Genomic DNA, 24,933 nt, shown 5'->3' with positions numbered 1-24,933 from the left:
CAGGTTAGTTAGCAGTGACTGAGAGACTGTAAGGAAAGATTTTTGTGGGGGAGTAAGAGTTAACTCCCTGCCTAGAATGTTTCAGGTGGCATTCTGCCTGGAAGTAGAGAGCTGGACTCCATTCCATGACAGAGATTTATACTCTGCAGGTGATCCAAAATGCTTCTCATTTTAATGGAATGTGGAATTGCTTTTGCCAAAGTTGAAGAATGTTTTAGATGGGATCTCTAAGGTAGCAAAAGGTTGTGAAAAGAGCTCTGGACCAAGAATTAGAAGACTGGAACCCTGCTTTGCCACTGTCTCCCCACATGATCATGAGCAAGTCACCTCATGAGCTTAGGCCTCAGCTACCTTTTTATAAGATTCTGGAAACAAAACTCCACCTCATCTTTGCACAGACACCACTTGGCTGCTTTCAGAGCACTTTTACCATTCATCATCTCTGGTCCTCACACCAGCTTCGTGAGGTAGACAGGATACTGGTATGGAAATTGGTACTTCTGTTTTTCAAGCAAGGCCACTAAGGTTCAAAGAGATTAAATGACTTGCCTAAATTTACACAGATGGAAGTGATAAGGCTGGGACTGAATCCAGGATCCTTAGTCTAGCTTGTTTTAGGGTACCCTTCTGAATACGGTGATGTCCATGGAACAGTAGGGAAGAGCACACAGTCCTGTTGGCAGAAAAGTAGTGAGCAGATCTGATGTCGGAGAGGAGGTGACATTGCCTTCACGCTCTCCAAGCACCCGAGGCTTTGGAGGGAAATGATAGTCTGAGTGGACTCCCATAAACCAGAAGGAGGTTGGTCTCCAGCTACTCAGATTAACATGTTTTCTCATGCTGTTGATTCAATTCAGAAAACATTTATTGAGGCTTTATCATATGCCAGGCTCTCTACTGGGGGCAGAGTAAGTAAGCAGTATAATGAAAAGTAGACTGGTAAGTTTTGTATTTGAAATGTAAACAGAGGGCTTTGGGTTTACAGTCAAAGGTACAATTAAGTCATCCTGGAGAGATGAAGGCAAACACAGCTGAGCCCTGAAGGATGAAGCAGGATTGAACAGGAGGAGAATGGAGAAAAGTGATCCCTGCCCTACTCTTCCTGCTTGGCCCCTGTGCCACAGCCACCCCTGCTATGAACTGCCATTCTACATGAAGCCAGCAGCAGACAGCCTGTTTGCTGCAGAACCTGCCAGATCTAACCCTGGTGGAGCTTTACCATTGCTTGTCAGATTTGATGCAATGCCCTGAAGCATATACTGCAAAGCAAGAGGAATTCTGCCTGGCAGCTCTTAGAGGAGTATACAGCAGGAGGGGAGGCCCATGGGCCCCTGGCAGAGAAATGGGCAGGTTGGAAGGAGGTACTTTTCTTAGTGATTGTGCCTACCCCTCTTAAGGGGCTGAGAGGCAGGAGCTGTTGCTTTGCATGTGTGATTTTAGACTGAGAGTGTTTTGTGTCTTTATTTTAAAACTGGTTTCTCAGTCTCCCGTGCAGTTTTCTGTCAGCTCGTTGCCATGGAGAAGTGGGTTGGGGCTGGAAGCTCTGTCCTTCTCTGTCAGCATTTCTGGACCCACCAGCTGCCTCCTGCCCCTTCTGCAGATGGAGGGGGGCAGGACCACATTTGGTGGGCAGACCTTTTCTCTGCAAGCACTGGAACTGCACCTCAGTTCCCTTTGGGATGCTAGTTTCATTCACCCATGCATTGACTCAGCAACTCTACATTGAGTGTCTTTTATGTGCCAGGCATTGTGCTGTGCTCTGCAAGTACAGAAATGACTTTGGCTGGTGGCACGTACATCTGTGGTGGACCCTGCCAGCCTGTTCTGTTACAACATCCCTGTCTGTTACTGTTCCTCAACCTCATTCTTTTCAGAATTTGAAGGACTGAATTTGTTTCTCTTCCAATCTTTATAACTGCTCATTTAGGAGCTCCCTGGAAGTTACCTACTTAGTCTCTCCACTCCTGGATCGTATTCTTCGCCTCCGGAGCGCCCAGCACAGTGCCTGGGGCAAAGGAGGGACTTGGCCAGGAAGTGTATATCTGATGGAATTCTTTGTCAAACCTCTCAGAATGTCTGTCTGTCCTGTCTTTCTTCCTCCACGCTGAGCCTAGATGCAGCATGTCTGGAAGCATGAGCTAATGGGAAACGACGGGTTTTTGAACTAGATAAATCTGTGCTTGATATGATCTGACAAGCAAGTGGCTTCTTAGCTTGGAGCCTTAGTCAAACCCATTATTTTCTCTAAACCTGCATCACAAGTCTATCAGCAATTGAGTTTTGACAATTTAAAAAGCAGTGTAGAAATTCTTGGTGGCCATTTAATCCTACCAGCTGCTCTCCTGGCTACGTCCATGTGGGACCCAGATGAGAAAAGTTGTCCTGCAGAGAACCCTGGGTTGGGATCAAGAGACATGGAACTGTGTCCTGGCTGTAACCCTAATGTACTGTGTGACTTTGATCAAGTCTCTTTCCTTACCAAGACCTCAAGTTCCCTATCTGAAACATTTAGGAATTGGGTTAGGTGATCTTGGAGGGTTCTTTTAGTTCCCCAGATCTGAAGATTCAGCTTTGAAAGAAAAATCTTCTCTCAGCTGCTTCCACCACCATTACCAGTGTCCCTAGGCTGGAGGCTGACCTCAGCATGACCCCTTCTGCCAGCCTCTGGAAGCTGCTCTCCCAAGAGGCTCCGGGCTAGAACACTGATACTGGATGCAGAAATCTCTTTCGGATGTAAAAGTCTCCTTTGAATGTATCATCTCTGTTCTCACCCCCAGTCCGGTGGCTAGGCTTGGCTTGCATCCCAGAACAGAGAAGAATTGCTGGAAGGAGGTTTTTGGTGGTGGTTTTTTTTTTTTTTCTTCACCTGTATCCTGCTTTTCCTCAGGACCTGTTACCTTCCTGAGTCTTTGGCTATTAAGGATTCTATTTCCTGAGCCACCTGTGACCCAGGGCTCTGTGCTAAGCACAGTGGAGGATAAAGAGATACAAAAGTCATCGTCCTCACAGACAGTCTCACAATCTGTGACATGGACAGGTGAAATAAAGAACTACAAAGTTCATGGGAAGCTCATCAAGGGAATGCTATGGACTTGGGTTCTAGGCATAGCCCTTATTCTGTCTTCTCCAGGCCCCAGTTTTCTGTTCGGTAGAATTTTGAGGGTTGGGCCAATGATCTGTAGATGCCCTTGCTGCTCTGAAATTTAACTATAGCTCAGTGTAGGCATGATTGTTGTAGACATTTTAGAGGAAGGAGGACTTGAGCTGAGCCTTGAAGGCTAGGCTAGGATTTGGATTAGCCCAGGATAAGGGCATTCCTGATTGCGGGATGGGGAGGTGTGAGGATAGACAGATCCCAGGCTGAGGGCAGAGTGTGGGAAGCCCTTCTGACCAGAGCACAGGGTTTGTGTGGGATACAAGAAGTGAGAGAAATATCAGAGCAGGCAGCTGTTGCCTTCCATCTGAGGGCCCTAATCCTCAGGGGCTTGGGGCCACCCCAGTGATACCTAAGGACAGAGAAATAAGGCAGGTTAGAACCAGGGCATTCTCCCTAAATGGGGACCCTAGTCTGATGCATATCATGACAGAAGACCTCCACCAAGAATACACTAGGGTCAAAGAAAGAGAGGCCACTTCTCTCCAGGTCCTTTCCTTCTCACTCCAACCAGCAGGTACTAGGTTGGTAGGAGCAGGGCACAGTGTGGGAGAATAAATCTTCCTGGGACAGCTGCCCTTGTTTCATGGTCTGTTCCTCCCCAAATGTTTTCCTGAACTCAGGGTGACAAGGGATATTTTGGCCATATCCTTGGGGTTGGATTCTAGATTCATCTACCAGGACTGTGAATCAAGGAATCACATATCCTAGACCTGGTTGCGACTTCCATCCTCCTAGTCTCCTGGCTAAGGCTATCTGACTCCTCTCACCCCTCTGTACCCACAGCTTCACAGATGCCAAGTCCTCTTGGTCCCACCTCTTTGCTTTCTCTCCGTCCTGCCCTCTTCTGCGTCCCACTGCCACTGAGACAGCTCAGGCTTTGTTTGTCCTCCTCCTCTTAGACTTTGCCTCCACCTCCAAATGATCTCCCTTAGACCCTCCTTCCCACTCAGTCTAAGTGTTTAGAAAAGTGCCTGGCATCGTGTGAGTGCATCCTAAATGTGATCTGTCATGATGGCAAGAACAATATTGATGATTGTTATTATGCCAGATTTTGCCTCTGAGGCACAGATCTGATTCTGCTACTCTGTTGTCCAAAAGCCTTAGTGGCTTCCAATTGGCTATGAAATAAAGTCCAAAATCTTTAGTCAGGCTTTTTGAGGATTATATTTCTTGAGCCATCTGCCATATGCCCCGTACTTATCATCCCAAATTTCTTTCCTTCTGCTATGTTTTGCACCACGTCTTCTTCCACCAAGTGGAACTACCACCATTATCTTTGCAATCCCCTCCTTCCCCCAGCTAGGTCTTTGTTCCCACTGTTCTATCTACTTAGAATGCTCTTTCTTCCCTCTCCCCTAACTTTTCTTCTTCCTCCAGGAAGTCTCTTCTGATCCCTCAGATTATTTATTCCTTGCTAGCAGGTGCCATGAATGGTTCATTTTATATCCCTTATGATATCTACCAAGTAAGACAAAATAGACATTTTATGAATGACTGGAAAGACCGGGTTTAGCCCCCTATTTTCAAGGAACCTAGAGTTTGAATTAGGGAGTTGTCAGGACTTGTCCAGCCAAACCCCAATACCTATATATTCCTTTGGAGAGATCCAGAAGTTCTCTAATGGACAAGTATTCAGTTAGCTGGCTCCACATGGTCATGACCCTATAAAGTGTATACAAGCCAATTGGCTCCTCTTACAGCAAACTGGCAGGAAAGGGTAGAAATATGGGGAATACTAGCTACGAAGTTGGCCCCTGCTGGGTTGAGATAGGGATCAGTCATACAAGGTGTAGGGGCCTATATTATCCTGGAAATGTCACTATCCTGGAGGGCCCATTTGTGACCAGGGGTCTGACAGCAAGCGTCTTAAGGTAATTATCATTGGGTGACATGGCTTGGATGTTTGTCCCCTCCAAATCTCGTGTTGAAATGTGATTTCCAATGTTGGAGGTGGGGCCTGTTGGCAAGTGATTGGATCATGAGGGCAGATCCCTCTTGAGTGGTTTTGTATCATCTCCTTGGTTATAAGTGAGTTCTCTTTCTGAGTTCATGTGTGATTTGGTTGTTTAAAAGCGCATGGCACTTCCCCCTGCTCGCTCTTTTGCTCCTGCTTTCACCATGCAATGTGCCTGCTCCCCCTTTGCCTTCCACCATGATTGGAAGCTTCCTGAGGCCCTCACCAGAAACAGATGCTGGCACCACGCTTCCTGTAGAGCCTGCAGAACTGTGAGCCAATTAAACCTCTTTTCTTTATAAATTATCCAGCCTCAGGCATTTCTTTGTAGCGACACAAGCACGGACTAATACATTGCACATTCACATTCCAAGGGGCCCAAGCCAGGCAGCAACTTGGAGGACAGATAAGAAGTTCAGGCCCTTGGTAGTGGGATGTCAGGAGAGCCTAGGCAGAGTGTGAGGGTCCTGCTCAGCCAGTAAGAGTTTGACTCAGGCCTTTAGCCCCAAGAAACTCTCAGATTAGGGGACACTAATCTTGTGGCTGCACATTCTAGGGGGTCAGCAGGGCTATCAAAGGGAAATGGGCTCTCTTCCTGGGTCAGGACTGACTTAGAAATTGGCATGTTCTCAATTTGGAAACACCTTGTTCTGGTCTTCATTTCCCTTAAGTGGGCAGGACTGGGGGAGGCAATGGCTGCCATATAGCTAGGCTCAGATATGAGTCCTGCCTCCCCTCCTGGTTCACAGCCTGGCTTACCAGGCCCTTGCTTCCATTTCAAAGTCAAGTCATGATCATGCCACCCTGTAGGCCACCATTTGGAAAGGCCAATCCCAGGCTGACACTCATTGCCTGTAAATGACGTGGAATTAGGGTAATCAGTGGCTCCTAATTCCCCAACAAATGCAAGTGCTGTGCTAATTGCCAGGGTCCACGCCGGCAGATCCCTGGTTGGCGGCATCAAACAAGAGAAGTGGTAATTTGGGGGCTGGAGTTGGGGACAGCCTGCTTCGTTGGCTGAGCCAGCTAAAAACCGCATTACCCCCTGGGTGAGCCACAGTGCAGACAGCCAGGGCCTGGCTTCCTTATCAGTAAAGGGACCAGGTGAGTGGCCCAAAGTATGTTTATAGGAGCTGAACCTTGGCACCAGTGCTCAGCAGTTGCTTGTCCATTAATGGGTTGTGTTGTTGTTGCATGGGTTTTGGTGAATTTTTTTTGTGGGGGGGGAGTTCTTTGAGGAAGATTCCACAAGCAGCCTGGCATGGCACTGCCGGGGCAGCTCATCAGGGATAAAGCATTCCGAACCTTGGTCTGCTGTTACCATGGCAGCATCACATGTCCGGACATTCCAGGCAACCCTTACTGGCATCTGCTACTGTGACAGATTCAGATGGAGAAGGAACACTGCTCTTCTCCATTATAAACAGAGCAAGTTGTGGAGACAGGGGAGCCATTCACCAAGGACCAGGGTCTTAAAGAAAATGCTATTCCATCGAGTTGGGGGCTTCTTGATGAAATAGTATTTGAGTGGTTGTTAAAGCTTTTCTGTTGGGGGAGAGATGCGGCATCAGAAGAGACCTCCTGGAGGAGAGAAGTAAGGGGAGGTGGGGGCAGCATGAACAAAGTCCTGGCTCAGGGGTGGGGTGGTAAATAGAGTGTGTAGATGGGGTACACAATTGAGTTTGGTGGGAGAACAGACCTTGTTGGAGGTAGGCAGATGTTAGCCATACCTCTCTGAATCCTGCTGGTTTGAGCCCTGTCTGGCAAAAGTCATCACGCCACCCAGATTCTACCTGATGCTTTCCTCTCCTGAGGAACGGGAAGTGACGGCCTCACCTCACTTCAAGTGGGCACTTCTCCCTTTCTCTTTTGGGTCACAGTTGTTTGTGATATTTCTCGTGCCCATTAGAATAATTGAATCTCTACATTTCAGATGGGAAGATGCTTGCCTAAGGTCACCCAGCAATACAGAGGCTGTGGAACTAGGAGTTACAAATTTAGGATCTGGACAGGCTGACGTTGGTTTGAGTCCTGGCTCCACCACTTAGTTTTCAGCTGAGCCTGAGCCTCAGCTAAGCCTCAGCTTCTTCAAGGGTAAAATAGTGATCCAGAACATTCCTGCCCTCTTGGCTTATTGTGGGTGTGAAATGAGATAACAGAAATAGTACAGCATAGTTCTTGATATATGGTAAGAGCTCAGGAAATGTTCATTATTAAATGTTAGTTATTTTCCACATAAATGGACCATCGTATTCATCTTTGCTCCTTCCTCCTTCTCTTTCCTTGCATACATAAGGTACCCAAATATCACTTTATCTAGAATTGATATTAGAGGAATGTTTGTTGACTAGTTGAATGTGCGAATGATGGGAACAAGGAACCATCCATGTTGCTGGGCTCTATACTTCTGTCTAGTGTTTTCAGCTTTGGTGCAGTTTAGTCTCCATAGGGTGGGAGCCAGGCCAAGCTTACAGTCTGTCCTGTGTAGCTCAGCTTGCAAGTCAAGTGACTTGCTCATTCAGGTTTCATATCCAGCTGCCCTGTGGCCCAGGACTTAAACTTCCCAGGGCTTTGGGTTTCTTGAAGGACAAATGGGATGGATTCCTCCCTACCTTTGGGCCCAATAAATGGTATTCATGGTAACTGACATCTAACTTTATAACATACAAAAGGTTTCCATTCACTCTTCCATGAGCCTCACCACAGCACTGGAATTGTCAGAACAATAGCCCCATGTTATGGATAAAGACACTGAGTCTCAGTAATAGGGAGTGGCTGGTCCAGAAGCACACACAGGAGAGCAGGAAGAGGGGATCGCACCCATCTTTTGACTCTAACACTGGTGGTCTTTCCACTGCATGAAGCTTTTAGGGTCTGTAGTTCTTTTAGGATATGATCCCAATGAGGTAAAGAATACTAGGCTTGGAGTTGAAATACCTTGATTTTGGTCATGACCCTGTCACTTACAAGTTTGCAGCTCTGAAATGAGCCACCTCTCTTCCCAAGGTGCTTATTCTCTGACCTTCTTGCTTCAGGGTTGTGGTGGGGCTGATGGAGCTTTGGAAGGTCTAAAACTCCACATGAGTGACTGAGGAGAAGAGCACTGTATCCATGAGCCACCGTGAGCTCAGCAAGGCTGTACGCCCAGCACAGCCAGATAGGCTGTAGAATTACAGCCTGGGTATATTGGGAAAGTTACACTTCATTGTCTGGAACATCAACCATCAGATCCGGGAGGGCCCTTGCAGATCACCATAGCTGGTGCTTTCAGTTTATAGGTGCAGAAACTGAGACCCTGTGAGAGGTAGTGACTCACCCAAGACCACGTGTTGAGTTAATGGCAGAGCTGAGACTTAGAGCCCAGGTCTGACACTCAGCCCCACACTGCCATGGAGCCATGTGGCTGTTAGGAAGGGAAAATTTTGCATTTTCTCTTGCCTGAGTATCTCATTTGAATTCATTTTAAACTGTTAGATAAAGAGTTTCTCAGAGAACTGTGTGCATCAGACAGTATTTTCAACAGTCTTTGTTTTCCAAACTTTTTTTGTTATGAAAGTAATATATGATCATGGAAGTAAATTGGGATAATAGAGAAATGTTCTATTTAGAAGACATCAAATTGAGGGATATTCTTAGCCCTCAGAAAAGATATTTTTTAGATGGAGGCTTTTAGACCAATGGTTCTCCAAACCCTGCAACACCTTCTGGAAGTTTAGTTACAGACAGTAGGAGAGTAACAGTCCATTGAGGCCTCTGAGGACTTAACTTAGTTCTATAGACTTGAGATAGTTAGATATACCACTAATGGTAGTAATAATAATAGTTGTTGGCATTTATTTGCAGAGTCTCTTCCAGGTAACAAACAACTTTTTCATAGGTGGTCTCATGATTATTTGATTGTTAGAAGAATCCAGTAAAGTAGGGAAAACAAATACTATGCTTCCATTTTACAAAGGAGAAATCTGAGCCCAAGAGAGATTAAGTAATAGTGGAGCTACTGACTTCAAACAAATACTTGGCGTAAAGAAGGAAGGCACCTAACAAATATTTGTGAATAAATGAATGATTGAATGAATGCTGACTTCTCTTCTAGGGAAGCCTCTAGAAATCATTTTGTCCAGTGGTTCCCAAACTATGGTCTGGGAAGCTGTAGGATTCCATGGAGCCAGTTGGGAGTAGTGGGAGGCTGAGTGGATAGGGCTCTGAGCCTTTCATCCCTGCTCCAGTCAGAATAACTTCAGTGCTGCCTGTTTCATGCACTGGGAGATTGAAAACAATTTAGCGAGTCTAACTCCTACAGCAGTGGTTCTCAAACTCTGTTGTGCGTCACAGCTCTGAGGGAGATTCTGACAGTTGGTATAGGATGGGCATCAGGACTCTGATTGTTTACCAGCACAGATGGTCATCGGGCCACTGTTTGAAAAATAGTGTCCTACTTCTGAGAGTTGGAGATTGCAAGACCCAGGGAGAAGCAGGAATTAGCCTTGGTCATACAATCCTGTAGGAACATAGGCCCCACTAGGTGTCTGATCCTTGGGTACCTCTTCCACTGCCCTTCCCCCGGTACCACAACTGCAACCGTGCCAGAAAACAAATGACACAGCAGAGAAGAACAAAATGGTTTCCATAGCAATGCTTAGTGGCTTGTGCCTGTCAGAATGCCTCAGACAAACAGTAATCTGAACCCTCGGCTAGAACTTGTGTCAAATGTTACCTACTTGTTCCATGCAAGGGGTCCATGGAGATGGGAAGAAGGAGAAGGGATGACACAATTTTGCCATGTGCCCCTGTATTGGACGGTTTTCCCAGATTCACTAATAGCTGGCCTCAAGATACACCAGATCGAGGAAGGCTGAGAAGTAGATCCTGGGCAGGAGATGTGGGCAATCCCAACAGCAGAGGGGAAGATGGGGAAGGGAACAAGTGTCCAGTGAGCGTGTGTCACGTGATGGAGTCTGTGCTGGGCACTTTACATATTCGTTTAGAAAAAGGCAAGGAAAAGACGATTGTTCTTATTTACAGATGAAGAAACCAAGAATTAGGTATATACAGTAGGTGACAGAGGCAAGATCAAATCCAAGCCTGTCTGGCTCCAAAACTACTGAGCAGCAACAACTCTCTCCCAGTTCTCTGACCCACTGGGTGAGGACTTGAGATATATACTGCCCAGCTGGCTTTCCTTCATCTCAGAAAGCAGAGGGTCAGCCTACATGCAGATGGATGGGTGCTCATTTGAAGGGCTGGGATGGACTAGGCTAGGCTAGGCCTGCCAGGACAGGGTTGATCCTAGAGTTGGAGGTGGTCTGTTCAACCTCTAGCTCTGATAACTCCCTTCCTCCATAACTGAGGCTGCAGCCACCCTACAGAATGCCTTTAGCATGGGCTACCCTGACTGCCCTGCCACATGTGTGGGTGTGCACACACAATATAGCAGTTGCTTCAGATTGGTGATCCCAGTAGATGGTCTGCCCAGCACTTTGATTTGGGTTCCCCTCAAGGGAATGAGCCCCTCCTGGGGCAAGTGACAACTCTTCATTGCTAAAACAAATATTTATTGAGCACCTTTTATATACTCATACCTTTTCTAAGTGCTGGAGATACAGCAGTTGAATAAAATGAAATGTTTGCTCTCATAGAGCTTTTCATTCTGGTGGGGAAACAGACAAACAAAAGTATATGATAGGGTATTACGTGCTGGGAAGGAAAATTAAGCAGTATAAAGAGAATGAAAGGATGAAATTGGGTGATCAGGGAAGGCCCTCTGAGAAAGTGCCATTTGAATGATGCCCTGATTGAAGGGAGGGAGGGAGGGAGCCATATGGTTATCTGGGGAGGAAGGTTCCGGGCAGAGGGAACAGCTGGTGCAAAGGCTAAAGCTGGAAGCATGACTGGCCAGTTGGAGGAAGAGCAAGGAGACCAGTGTGGCTGAAGAGGAGTGGATTAGGAAAGGTGAGGACGCGAGTGGCAGCAGTGGGTATCAGAGAGGTAGCTGGGATCAGATGGTATAGGACCTTATAGGCTAAGGTCCAGACTTGGTATTTTCTTCTGAGCTAGAATGCCATTTGAAAGATTCACACTCTGAGACAAATGTGCCTCGCCTCAGCCTCAAAGTCTCTAGCCCCCTTGTCTGGGAGGGGAATCTGCCACTAGGGGCTGAGCCCACAGGAGGCTGAGTAGTCCCAGGTGGAGACATGTATAGTCATGCAGGGAGGGAGCCCAGTGGAACTCACTGGGCTTCCTTATCTTCATTTGTGTATTTATTCTTAGAACCAATGTTTAAGGGTCTTTCAGGGCTGCCTCATTTTTGGGTGGCCTCATACTACCTGGAAATTAGATGTCCCAAAGAGAGTCTGGCTGCAGGGTCTCATGCAAACACTGCATCCTCTGGGAATGCCACTGCTCCTGCTGACACCCTGCTTCAGGAGAGGAGCTCTGTGCCTGGGTTTCCCAGCGCAGCAGTCCTGGCAGCTCAGCAGGGTTAGAGAAGAATGCTACTTCCAATGGGACCAGTAGGAGAACTTGGGTCGGTGGTTATAATGATCTGAAATGGTAATTTTCCTTTCAAATATTATGTGTTTTTTTATGAAACAGGGACATTCACAAAGGTAATTTATATTATTAGCCCATGTAGTATGTATGCATCCCAGTCAAGCACTTCATTCAAGAAAAAACAAAAACAGGAGCTATAATTTAGAGTGATGAAGGCACCAAATTAGGCCCCATCGAACCATAAGCACAGTGTTACCTCTTGAGCTGCCCGCTGCTCACCTGGTAGCTCCTACAATTTGTTATTCACACGGTTTCCCAGGTCTCAGGTTTATCATCTCTTAGGCTCACCAGAGGTCTGTATTTGGGGAATACATTCATTCATTCATGTCTAATAGGCACTTACATCTTAAAATGTCCAAAACAGAACTCTTGATTTTCTCCCCCAAGCCTATCTCTCCTCCAGGCCTCCTCAACTTCATAAATAGCACTACCATCCACTCATTGCTCAAGGAATCAGTTTTAATTCCTATCTCTCTGTATATATAATGTATCAGCAGGTCCTAGAAATCCTATATCCAAAACAGTTTATAAATCCATTTATCTCCGTCCCCACTGCTACCAGCCTACTTTGAGCCACCTTCCTGCACTGCCTGGTTCTCTGCAATGCAGTAGCCTCCTAAATCTGCTCCCTGCATTTTGCCTTTGTAATCCAGCCTTCAGAGAGCAGCCTTTTCAAATGTAAATCAGAATTTGTCATTCCCTGCTTAAAACCCTCTCTAGCTTCTCAGCATTCTCAAACTTCTAACTCCTCACCTGGCATCCCAAGGCCCTGCTTCCCCTTGAATTTTTTTTTCTTTCTTTTTTTTTTTTTTGAGACGGAGTCTCGCTCTTTCGCCCAGGCCGGAGTGCAGTGGCGCTATCTCGGCTCACTGCAAGCTCCGCCTCCCAGGTTCACGCCGTTCTCCTGCCTCAGCCTCCCGAGTAGCTGGGACTACAGGCGCCCACCACCACGCCCGGCTAATTTTTTGTATTTTTAGTAGAGACAGGCTTTCACCGTGTTAGCCAGGATGGTCTTGATCTCCTGACCTCGTGATCCACCCGCCTCGGCCTCCCAAAGTGCTGGGATTACAGGTGTGAGCCACCGTGCCCGGCCTTCCCCTTCAATTTTAAGGCCTGCCTCTCCCTTGGCTCACTTGGCCCCAGACACACGTGGTCACCCTCCTTGCTATATCTGGAACTGGCAAAATGCCTTCCTCCTTCCAGCCTTTGTATTGTCATTTCTTCTGCCTGCCAAGTTCTTCCCACAGATATGGCTGGCTCCTTCTTGTCCTACAGGTCGCAACTCAGGGGCCACATTATTGGGGAGGACTTCCCAACTACCTGCCCTTCTAAATCATATACTGTTTTTTTATAACTCATATTACTAGCTGCATTCTGTTGAATTGTATGACTACTTGCTTGTTGTTTCTCCCATTAGAGTATAAGCCCCTTGAGGACAGGGACCTTGTGTGTTGTTTGGTGCTATATTCTCTGCAACTGCTTGAATATTATTGGCACTCTATAACTATTCTTCCACTCATTTATTCTGCAACTCTGGCAGATGAAAAGATAAATAAGTATGCAAAACACAGAGGATTTTTAGGGCAGCAAAACTATTCAGTATGACCTTATAATTAGGTGGATCCATGTCATTATACATTTGTCAAACCCGTATAATGTACAACACCAAGATCATCCATAATGTAAACCACCCACTTTGAGCGCCAATGGTGTGTCAGTGGTGCGGGATGTTGGTGGGGAAGGCTATGAAGTAAGTAGAGGCAGGAAGTATTATGGGAACTGTCCATACTTTCTGCTTAATTTTACTATGAACCTACATTTTCTCTTAAAAAATAGTCTATTTAAAAGGAAAAAAATTCATTAATATATATTAAAAGTATTAACCCATTAGTTTTCTCCTATTTTGTATTGTAATAATTTTTATTGACAAGAAGTTTAATAAAATTTTACTGTTTAGAAAAAAAAAGATAAATAAGAGAAAGACTCTCTTCCCTTCGGGGTTTGATCCATCTCAGGAATTAGCCACTGCCTGGTCTTCCTGAGCAAATCTTTCCAGGACCTCATCTCCCTGTGCTGTCACTGTGGGATGGACGCTCAGCTCTCTAACCCAGCACTTGGGCTTTGTGGGAGCCTAGTTGATGTGTACAAAATGAATTGAACTGAATTGGGCATAGCACCAGACACGGACCAGATACTAAGTAGGTACAATATTTATTCAGTGATTGGAACTTCTAGGGAGAATTCTGTCTCAGATTTGTGTCATCCGTCCCCATGTGAACTCTAGTACCCTAATCTTCCTGCATGTGGATTCTTCTGGACCTGCCACTGGATTCCAGAGCAGACCTTCTTACTACCACCTCCACTATTGCCCCAATTCCCTAGCTTCCTCTTCTGCACACTGGTGATTCCCAAACAGGCTTGAGGAGAGCAAGGTAAGGAGGCTCTGGTGGTGACCAGGCTTCAGGAATGGCAACAGTGCAGCTGCTCCTGGTCCCAGAATGGCATCCATTCCTCCACCCCTCTGCTAGTGCCCCTCGGAGATTGGCATGTTCATTTAATAAGATGACTTTTAATGGAAACAACCTGAAAGTCCCAGCCAGGTCTAAACCACCAGCATACGGGCCAGGCCAGGTAAGAGATAGGAGAACAAGTCCTCCAGAAACTGTTTAAGAGTTTTTGCAGGCCGCGGGTTCAGCAAGGGGAAGTGGACTTGGCCTCCAAAGCAGCGAATGTGGCCTCAGGCTAAGCTAACAGAGGTGGAACCTTGGGGACTATGTGTGCATCTTGGTGGGCCCTTCATCTCTGGACCTCAGCCAGCTCTGGGTACCATACTTCTAGAGGGATGATGATGACTGAGAATCTGCTGAGGGGGCCCTGGTAGGCAATGGGGACAAGCTACCAGGTCATACAGAGGGAGGAGGTATCACCAGGATTGAAGAAATCTTGGAGGACAGGAGAGCAACACCTGAAGGGATTCAGATCCGAAGGTGCTGTGTGCATGCCCTTGCTGCTCCATCTGCCAGGGCCACCTTTCTTTTGGCAGCACCAGGCTCCACAGCAGACCTGCTGGTCCACAGCCTCACTCTTGTACCACATCACAGGGTGTGCTTGCTTCTGGACCTCTCCCAGCCTGTTTCCTCATCCACAGAGTGTGACCAAAATATCTTCTTCCCAGAGCTGTTAAATGAGATGGGTGATACAAAAGCCCATAACGCCATATGTGATCATAGTAGGCCCTCAAGAGGGTTAGTTTCTCTTTCTGCCCCCTCTCGCAAGGCAGCCAATAAGCCCAGAAAGCCAGCAGTTCTGAGAGAACACAGAATTCAGAAAGACAGTCTGTAGGGAGGATTTCAGTTGTTTATAAAACAGGCCAACATGTTTCCACCTTGTAAGTTCTAAATCCGTCATCATAGCTCCCTAGATCTAAGAATAGTCACCCACTGGAGCCAACGTGCCACAGCACGCTCTCACTGCAGGTGACTGAGGAAATGTGTCCACAGCAGCCTCAGCAGCCTCCTACTCCTGGGGCTGGGGGTGGGGAGGGCTGGCCTCTGCCTGTCCCAGCTTGGCTGTTTCTGAACCGCACCCAAATGCAGTTTTCTCTTCCATGCAGTGTTGATCCAATACGTGCCTCACTGGGCTGCTGTCAGATGAGGTGCCTGCAGTGATGCCAGGGGGTGGTTGAGAGGAGCGGGGAGGTAGGCCAGTGGGGACCTTTGCATGGCATTGCCCCACTGTGGGCCTCAGTTTCCTCCTATGTAGAGGGAAAGTGATTGACAGAGAGAACTGGGCAACCTTTTGAGCAAGGGGGTTCTAGAAGAGGTTCCAGAGCAGTCCTAGCCTTGCAGCTTAGAACCCATCAATTCAACACACTTATTTATCACTTGAGCCAAGGCCTTTCTTTTGTCTGGTTTGAAGGAGCCAGCCTGGGGAGCGTGTATCTGCCCACTCTCCTCTTCTGTGTCCACCTTCCTTCTCTTTCTTACACACTTCCATATCCACACACACCACCACACAAATTCTCCAGGATTGGAAGGACTTTTGGTTTGTCTCAGCCCAGCCTCTGCCCACTGTGGGACTGTCCTGGGGGCTCAGGACCTGTGGCAGAGCACCAGCTATGTTCCAGAGCAGTCTTCCAGTCATTGCAGCGTTCTTCCTGATAGCGAGCTACAATTGCCGTGCCCATGGCTGCTGCTTTCCACATCCATGGGTTCCCTTTTGGCCCTCTAAGAGAGAAGAAGCAGCTCCATTCTCTCACTGCCATTCATTCATTTGTCCTTTCATTCACACAACAGCATTGAGCGCTAACCTATGCCAAGCACTGTTTCAGGTACTGGGATATAGCAGCAAACAAAACAGAGTACCTAACTCTCAAAGAGCTTGTGTTTTGTTAGGAGAGAGAGATCATAAAATAAATAAACTGTAAAAAAAAAATGAAGAAAAATAGAGCAGGTGAAGAGATAAGACGGGAGTAGGGGTAGACTGCTATTTCATATAAAGTTGTCAGGGAAGGCCTCTCAAATAAGGTGGGACTCTCACAAATACCTGAACAACATGAAGGAATGAACCTGTGGCTGTCAGGGCCAAGAGCATTCCAGATAGCAGGAACAATAAGTGCAAAGGTCCTGAGGCAAGTACTGTTTGAGGAACAGTAAGAAAGTCAGTGTCACTATGGTGATGTTAGCAGAGTGGATCATGATAGAACATGATGTTAGAGAAGGAGCTGGAGACCCGCTGTTGTTTATTCTGAGTAACAGGAGAAGCCACTGAAGGATTCTAAACAGTGCAGTGCCTTGTCTGACATAGGTTTTAACACAATCACTCAAGTTGCTGTGTGGAGAATAGAACATACAGGGAAACAGAGGCAGCAGAGAGACCAGTTGGGCAGCCCTTGAGGGGTGATGGCACTGGTGAGAAGTGGCCAGATCCTGGCTGTATTTTGCACATTACCTTCCCCAAACCCTTTTTCCACAGGCCCTGCCCTTTTCTTACCTGGTGGACAGCCACAGCCTCCTTGCTGGCCTCCTTGCCTCCAACCCTCACCCCCCATCTACTCCTCTCACCTCATTCTCAGGGCTGCTGTGGATCTTGGTGTGAAGGGGACCCTAGGCCTGTCTGTTTTCCCACATACAGCCTTCTCTGAAGCAATGTGGGCCACAAACCTGAAACATCCCCAGAGTAATCCTGTGGGTGAACAGCCCCACTTTTGATTCTGGAGTAGCTTCTTTCTGCTGCCTCAGCTCCTGCCTCGAGGGTATCCTTGGCCCTGGAGAGTGATGGATGGACTAATTCCTGAAAGGGCCTGTTTTAGTCCATGTTTTGCTGCTATAACAGAATACCACAGACTGGGTAATTTATAAAGAAAAGAGATTTATTTAGCTCAATAAATGGTTCTGGAGACTGGGAAGTCCAAGATCACAGGGCCACATCTGGGGAAGACCTTCTTGCTGCATCATAACATGGCAAAAGGGCAAGCAAACATTCAAGAAAGAGAGAAAAAGAGACCAAACTCCCACGATAATTAACCCATTCCCACAGTGACAGCATTCATCCATTCATGAGGGCAGAGCCCTCATGACCTGATTGCCTCTTAAAGGTCCCGCTTCTCAACACTGTTGCATTGGGGATTAAGTTTCCAACACCTGTACTTTTGGGAACACATTCAAACCATAGCAGGGCCCAACACTGACAGTGCCTGTGTCCTCTGCCAGGCCCAATAGGACCATCATCCTCATAGCCATTCTCATGGCCATTCTCTGCATGGCCTCCTGGGTCAGTGTCTCCTAGGTCATCCTCTCCTCTTTGCTACCTCTGTCCCTGGAAATACTATTATTTTTAAAATCATCTCTGTGTTACTGCTTTTTAAAATATTTGAACGAAATGAAAATGAGGGTCACCCTTCCCCCATTTCTCCCTGTCTTTGTCAGAGACTGTTCTCAATTTGGGATGTATTCTTTTCCATTTGTACATATAAAAATATATAGGGGCTTTGCATAACTTTATGTTAAAAAAAAGTTTTAATATGTAAGGATCCTAGTCTGAAGGGGGCCGTGGCTTTTTGAAATCATCTTCTACTGGTGAATGTTCTTGAAGCCCCCCAGTCTTTTGCAGTTGCAAACAGTGCTACAGTAAACACCACTGTCCATGCCCCTTGTGTACACATGCCATCATTTCCCATAACTGTCTTTTCCCATGGCTGTCTTCCTCAGTGGATGGGGACCCTGAGGGCACAAAATGAATTTTCCTCTTCTCTGGGTCTTGTGTGCAGCACAAGTCCTAAACCAGAAAAGGCACCCACATGATGAAATAAATGGACTCAAGGTTGGGCAAGAGCATGGCAATGTGAACAGCCTGGGTGAATTCGGGGAGCCGACAGCAAGCCTGTGGGGCTGGAACACTGAGTTGGGGAACAGGGGTGATGAGAGACAGACTACTCAGGGCCTTGGGAGCCAGCTAAGGGGCCTGGACTTGGTCTCATAGGTGCTGTGGAGACAGGAAATTTTCCATGGGAGGACCTAGACCAGGCTGTGTTTCTGCCTGATTTCTCCCACCCAGGCCAGCAGCCTCAGCATAAAGGATAGGGCAAGGGACGTGAGGACCTGATCCCCTTTTTCCATCCTGCTGTTGCCATCTAGACCCAAAGCACTTTAGGAGGCCCACTTCAGGGATTCCTCACTCCCCATTCCTTGCTCACAGCAGGACCCTAGGGACAGTTCTACCAGTTGCTGCCAAAAGGATGGGATCCCTATGAGCTTGGGTGGCTAAACACTCAGAAGTGTCTCCCAAACTTACCCTGCTCCAAGGCCCGCCCCATCCTTCCTGACATGTACCAGAATCCAGAGCCCTCCTCTCTATGAGGGCGCTCAAACCTCACCCCTCCTCTCCGTCAGCCTGGTAGTGCAGAAGAGCAGTCCTGACTGTTGGTCTAGGCCTATGCGTGCTCTTAGACAGGAGGAGACAACATGGACCATTCGCTACCTAATTTCTTGTGCCTATCTCTCCCTCCTCTTCCCACTGCCCAGCAGATGCAGAAGGGGGCAGGGCCTCAGCCCCAGCGCTCACAGGGCTCAGGGAGATTTCTGCTCCTCTGCACAGTATCTTTCTCTCGCCAGCTGGAGTTCTTGCCTTCCATTACTTCCTGCGTTCCCATAGGTGGACTGTTACTCTGTACCTTTTCTTAATTACCTGGGAAGCAACGTTTTTGCTAGAGAGAACAGTATAATATTAAATAGAAGAGGGCCTGGAGCCAGACTGTCTGGGTTCGAATCCAGCTCTGCCTCTTGTTTCCTTGCACAGTTCACGTCATCTCTCTGCAAAATGGGGATAATATTAGATTGCACTTCACAAGTTTGTTGTGAGGATTCGGTGAATGAATATTTGCAAAGTGCTTATCACAGGGCCTGGCATATACCAAGTATTCAATGATTCTGTTACCATTTTCACATGGTTTGGAACTAGTGAAGGCGCCTGAGATTTGGGAGTCCTGGATTCTAGTCCTGACTAGAATAGCTGTGTGGCTATAGACAAATTACTTTACCTCTCTGAGCCTGGTTCTTCATCTGTAAAATGGACGTAGTAGTACCTCCGAGGGTTGCCGTGGAAATTAAGGTGACATTTTTATGAAACTGAGAAGCACCATCCCTAGGTCGCAGCCCTCATGCTCATGGTCAGAGGTAGTGGCTACAACTCCAGCTATCGCATCCACATTCCCAGTGACAGGATGCAAGAGGGACAAAGAAGAAGGAGCAAAGAGTGTATGCCATCTGTCTTTTAAGGAAAAGTCCCATAAGCAATTACAGAACATTTCAGCTTGACCCTCACTGATCACACCTAGCTAGCTGCAAGAAAGGTTGGGAAATGTCTTTATTCTGTGGTTCAAGAGACAACCAGGAGGCTCTGCACACATGCTCAGGTGTTTATTCCTCCTTGGCAACGTCCTCCAGCAGAAATGCTGCCCCCTCCCTAGCACTGGGCTGCAGTCCCAGCACCATAAGGCCCTATGAGGACTTAGTTGCCAAGAAGCTCGGGCAGGTGCCACAGACCTGAACAGATTTGGGTATTGTGTCCAGCTTGTGCCAGGGACCCTGCCAGTCCTGAGGTTCCGTTGCCTGCAGGGCTCTTAGGCTGACGCAAGTGTGGTGGGCTGTGAGCTCCATCACTCGTCACAGCCTAGATTGAGCCCTGTGAGCAGGAGGCCTGAACTCCAAGGGCCTAGGGAATCCCTCTGTAAATATGGGGCTCTCCACCCAAGTCTCAGCCATGTGCCCCAGGACCAGCAAAGCAGATCTCCGTCAACCAGGTGGGATTCTGGTGTCTTCGAAGACCTGACAAGTGCCAAGCACACTGCAGAGAGCCCTCTGTAAAGCCAGGGATCGTCCTCTAACTTACCTGTTTTGAAAACTGGACGTTCCATGTTCCATGTCGCTTAGGGAGAGGCTTTCTGTAGGCCACTCTCCTTCCTCTTACTTCTGTGTGAGAACAGCCTGCATAGTAGCATCTTGCTGAGTCTGGAGGGCCTTGCCAGCTTCATTGTGCCCCTGAAAAGGTGGCCCTAAGTGAGGTTAGGGGGTGAATGAAACCTATTCTAAAATGCTGGAGGAGCTTATTACTGAAAGATGTCCTGCTGCAAGTCCTTCTGTTAAGGGGATAACCAATCCTTTGCTTTTCTGAGTTCAGCATCCTGGCTTTTTTTTTCCTATAGGCTTGTTTAAAGTGTTTGGAAACCCCAAACTTCCTATCATTCTACTTTAGACCTTCTCATCTGCTGCTGCCCCTCCATCTCCTCTTTGCTGTTTGCCACTGGTGTGGCTTTCCTTGCCTTTTCCTCCTATTCCCATGATCTGCTTTCCACATGGGTTTGAGCTGTCACTGTGTCAGGCATGGTGCTGGGGCATTGCTCCTCCTCATGGCAACCCTATGAAGTCAGTGGGGACCTACGTACCATTATCACACAGTTGTGTGGTAAGGTGGGACCAGGACAGCATAGCGTAGTCCATAGGCCATAGTCTATAATATGTGTGGAGCAGGGGATGGCAAACTATGACCAAATTTGACTTGTAGCCTCTTTGTGTGTGATGCTGCAAGCTAAGAATGGTTTTTAAAGGGTTATCAAAAAGAATACATGACAGAGACCTAACATGGCCCTCAAACCTAAAGTATTTCCTATCTGCCCCTTATAGAATAAGCTTGACAAGCCCTGGGATGTAACATGCAGACTTCAGCACAGATTCTGGAGCCATCCTGCCTGGATTCTAGAGCCTCTGTTTTATTCTCTCTAAAATGAGAATAATCTGTAAATTGTGGCTGCCTCACATGGTTCTTAGAATTAAATGAGATAAAGTACACAGAGCACCTAACCCAAAGTCCAGCTTTCTTTGGAAGTACTGCGGGGGGATATTACTGGGCCTTTACCAGGCTTCTCGACCCAGTGGGCATGAAAATCCTGGCTCTAGTCCTTTGGCTACCCCGGTCCCAGGCGTAGCTTCCTCAGAGTGTGTTCCCTTTGGCTGGAGGAGAGGCACCTGCCAGCTTCCCACTGTGCTGTGTCCTGCTGGTAGGTCAGCTCTGCCTTCCTCCCACCCCCATCCCTGCTGACGGTCAGCTGGTGCCACTCACCAGGGCCGGGCACAAAGCCCATACCAGGTGCCGAACTAGGCGCAAAGGTACCAAGCCTCTTCCACTCTCCCTACCTCGTGCCTCAGCTCAACCTGGCTGGAACTCCTGCTTAACTGTAGGAGATGTGGCCTGGGGTTCATCCTCTCTGTATGCGCTTCCGCATTTGTGGGCCAAACAGGCAGACATCTGTGTTTCCCTAAACCCAAGCTTTTGGCCAGTGATTGCCTTCCTACTAAGGGAAAGGGAAGGGAAGGGTAATCCCGGGGCCCAGCCAGCTACCCTCTTGATAGAGTGGTCTGCAAAACAAGTTTTCAGTGGATAATGAGTTAAATGTAAAGAAGATTTAAAAATTCAAATCCTTGAACTATCAAAAAGAAGTTTTTACTGCGTAGAACCATACACTTATCAAAAGACTGAAAACAAAATTTTAAGTCAAACTGAGGAAAAAAAAGTAATGCTAAATATAGCAGAGAAAGAACTAATATTCTTAAAATCAAAGTCTTTCAAACAACAAAGCTCTTAATAGGTGACAACAACAATAACAAACATTTATGTAGTACTATGTGCCAGGCGCCATTCTGAGTCTTTTGCATATACTATACTTACTCATTTAACCCTTGTAAACAACTCTAATAAGGTATTACTGTCCCCATTGAACAGATGAGAGAACTGAGATATAGAAATGCTAAGTAACTTGCTTGAAGCGGCACAACTAGTAAGTGGCGAAGCTGGGATTTGAACCCAGTTCATCTGGCTCTTGGGCCTGAGTTCTAAACTCTTCTGTACTAACCAGGAAAAAGATATAAGCAGATAGTACACAAAGGAGGAAATATAAATATCTGATAAACATTGTAATTATTTTTCTGTTTCAATGGTAGTCCAAAAAGTACATATTAAAACAAGAGATACCATTTTTGTCTTCAAATTAGGAAGATCTTTCAACATTATAATACTATTAAAAACTTGCAGTCCTAGAGTAAGACAGAGATTCTCACAGATTGCTGAAGTTATATGCAAGTAGCCTTTCTGAAAAGTATTCTGGCAGTACTCAAAACAGTACTCAGGCATTTCAAAAATGCCTATACTCTTTGACCAGGAATTCCCATTCTAAGAATCTAATTTGAGAAAATAATTAGAGAGACAGACAAAGACTCATGCATAAAGATGTTCATAGCAATGCTATATAAAATAATGACAAATTGGAAACAACCTATGGATCTGATAATAGAATGCAGGTTAAGTAAATTGTTTAATCTTCATAATAGGTAATTAGGCAGCCATTATAAGTAAATGTGTATAACAAAAGACACCATAAACCAAGTGAAGAGACACACCACAGACTTCTGGAAGAAGATACTTCCAAATGCACATAACAACAAAGAATCATAGAAACAAAATAATACACAAAGAATACTTGCAAATCAATAAGGAAAAGGCAAACAACCAAAGAACAAAACAGAGAATGTATATAGACAATTCACAGAAGAGGCAACTTAAACGGGTAATCAACAGAAAGCGCTACTGCTCCATCTCACTAGTAGTCAGGGAAATGCAAACTAATTGAACGTACTCATGAGAATGGCAAGAGTCTAAAGGTAAGATCTAAGGAAACAAATTCATATCTATTGTTGATGAGAATATAAATGTCTAGTCATTGGAGAGATATTTGGCCACACTTACTAAACATAAACATGCTTACATATACATGCATGACTCATATACTCCCAGGGATCACCCTGTACAAATACCAGTTTGTACAAGGAGATATGTTCAAAGACTTTCATTGCAATACTGTCTATAATAGCAACCATATTAGTATTGTTGTTGCATAATACTATATATTTTCCATTGTTATATAATAAAACAGCAACAATGATATTATTAAATAACTAGCCATCAGAAGGGACATGGGTAAGTGAAATATGATTTATACATAATGGGATACTATGCACAGTTAAAATTAAAATAACTGAACTAGATCTGTAACTACCAGCTCAGATAAATTTCGAAAACAATGATGAGTGTAAAGAGCAACTTGCAGAAAAAAAAAAAAATATGTGAATGATTCTATTTGTGTAAGTCTTTAAAACAAACTAAACAGATCACAATATTTAAGGACACATCTATGTAGAAAAATATGAAACCATGCAAATGATGTGCACCAACTTCAAATAGTGGTTACTTGTGGGAAGGAGGGTTGGATAGAGGGACAAGAATGGGAGGTGGGGCATAAACTGTATCTTTAAGATTTTTTTTAAGAGAAGGGTTGAAGCAAATATGGCAAAATGCTAGCTAATGTTCTTAATCTGGGTGGAGATCTGCGTCTTTCTATTAAATTATTTTCTGTTCTTTAATGCATCTTGAGAAGAAAATTATTTTTAATTTACTTTTTTGTTTGTTTGTTTTTGAGACAAAGTCTCGCTCTGTCACCCGGGGTGGAGTGCAATGGCACAATCTCAGCTCACTGCAACCTCTGCCTCCTAGGTTCAGGTGGTTCTCCTGTCTCAGCCTCCTGAGTAGCTGGGATTACAGGCATGCACCACCATGTCTGGCTAATTTTAATTTACTTTTTGAATACTTTACAATCCATGGAGAAATATTTGTGCTACAATGTTAAAAAGCAGGACAAACATATATACAAATATTTATAAATTTCACAAATTAAAGGGTTGAAAGAGATATCCAAAATATTCCTAGTAGTGGCAAGGGCAAGATTCTGCAAGTTTGCTTTTCCTTACACATCCATATTGTCCATTGTTTCTTTTCTTTTCTTTTGTCATGAAGATGTATTATTTTTATGTCCAGAAGATTTTTTTTAAACGACCACAGAAAAACATGAATGAGTTTAGACCTAGGACAGTGTCTAAAACCTAGGAAGACGTGTTATGATGGGTGGACTGTTGGAGTTACCTGGGCATGAATGTTGGCTTGGCCACTTTCTGGCTGTATGAATTTGTTCATTTTTGTATCTATTCAGTAAACACCTGTTGAGCACCAACTGTGTACCAGGCACTGTCCTAGAGATACAGCAGTGAAGAAAGTATACACGCTTCTTCCCTCACCACAGAGTGCAGTCTAGTGAAGAGGGGACAGTAAACACATCACCACACAAATCATCCCTCACTACAGAGTGCCAGATCCTCATGAGGGAAGAATACAAGGGCAGTCATGAGAATCTGATTTGGATTGGGTGGTCAGGGACCCTGGCCTCTGAGCGACAACTGGAATGGAAAACATGAAGAGGTCTGGAAGCCCAGTAAACTGAGGGCTTTGAGAGATAGGAAGGCCCTACTGGACATACTTAAGGAACAGAAAACAAGCCAGGGTTCTGCATGCAAAGAGGGAGGGCAAGAGTTGTGCAGGGTGAGGACACCAAGATAGTTAGGAGCCAGATCACTCAGGCCTCACAGGCCAAGGGAAGGCCTCCTTAAGGACCATGGAAAGGCACTGAAGGGTTTTAAGCAGCAGAGTGACACGTGATTAGATTTGCAGTTGTCGAAGATTGTCTTGATGCTCTTTGAAGATCAGGGTGGATGGAGTGAGCAGCTGGGTTAGTTAGTTGGCTATTGGCATGGCCCAGGTAAGAGAAATGGTGGCCTGGATGAGGCTGGAGCTGGCTGAGGAGATGGAAAAATATGGGGAAAGATTTGAGATGTTT

At 46.1% G+C, this 24,933-nt stretch overlaps 1 protein-coding gene across 3 annotated transcripts in view; it reads left to right on the top strand.

Annotated features, from left to right (window-relative positions):
• The window catches only part of SERGEF (secretion regulating guanine nucleotide exchange factor), a 225,000-nt gene that overhangs the window by 199,381 nt on the left and 686 nt on the right, over positions 1–24,933 (top strand). The window lies entirely within an intron of this gene.

This window comes from Homo sapiens, chromosome 11 (genome assembly GCF_000001405.40).
Source record: "Homo sapiens chromosome 11, GRCh38.p14 Primary Assembly".
Lineage (NCBI taxonomy): Eukaryota > Metazoa > Chordata > Mammalia > Primates > Hominidae > Homo > Homo sapiens.
This window is presented reverse-complemented; position numbering and strand designations above follow the sequence as displayed.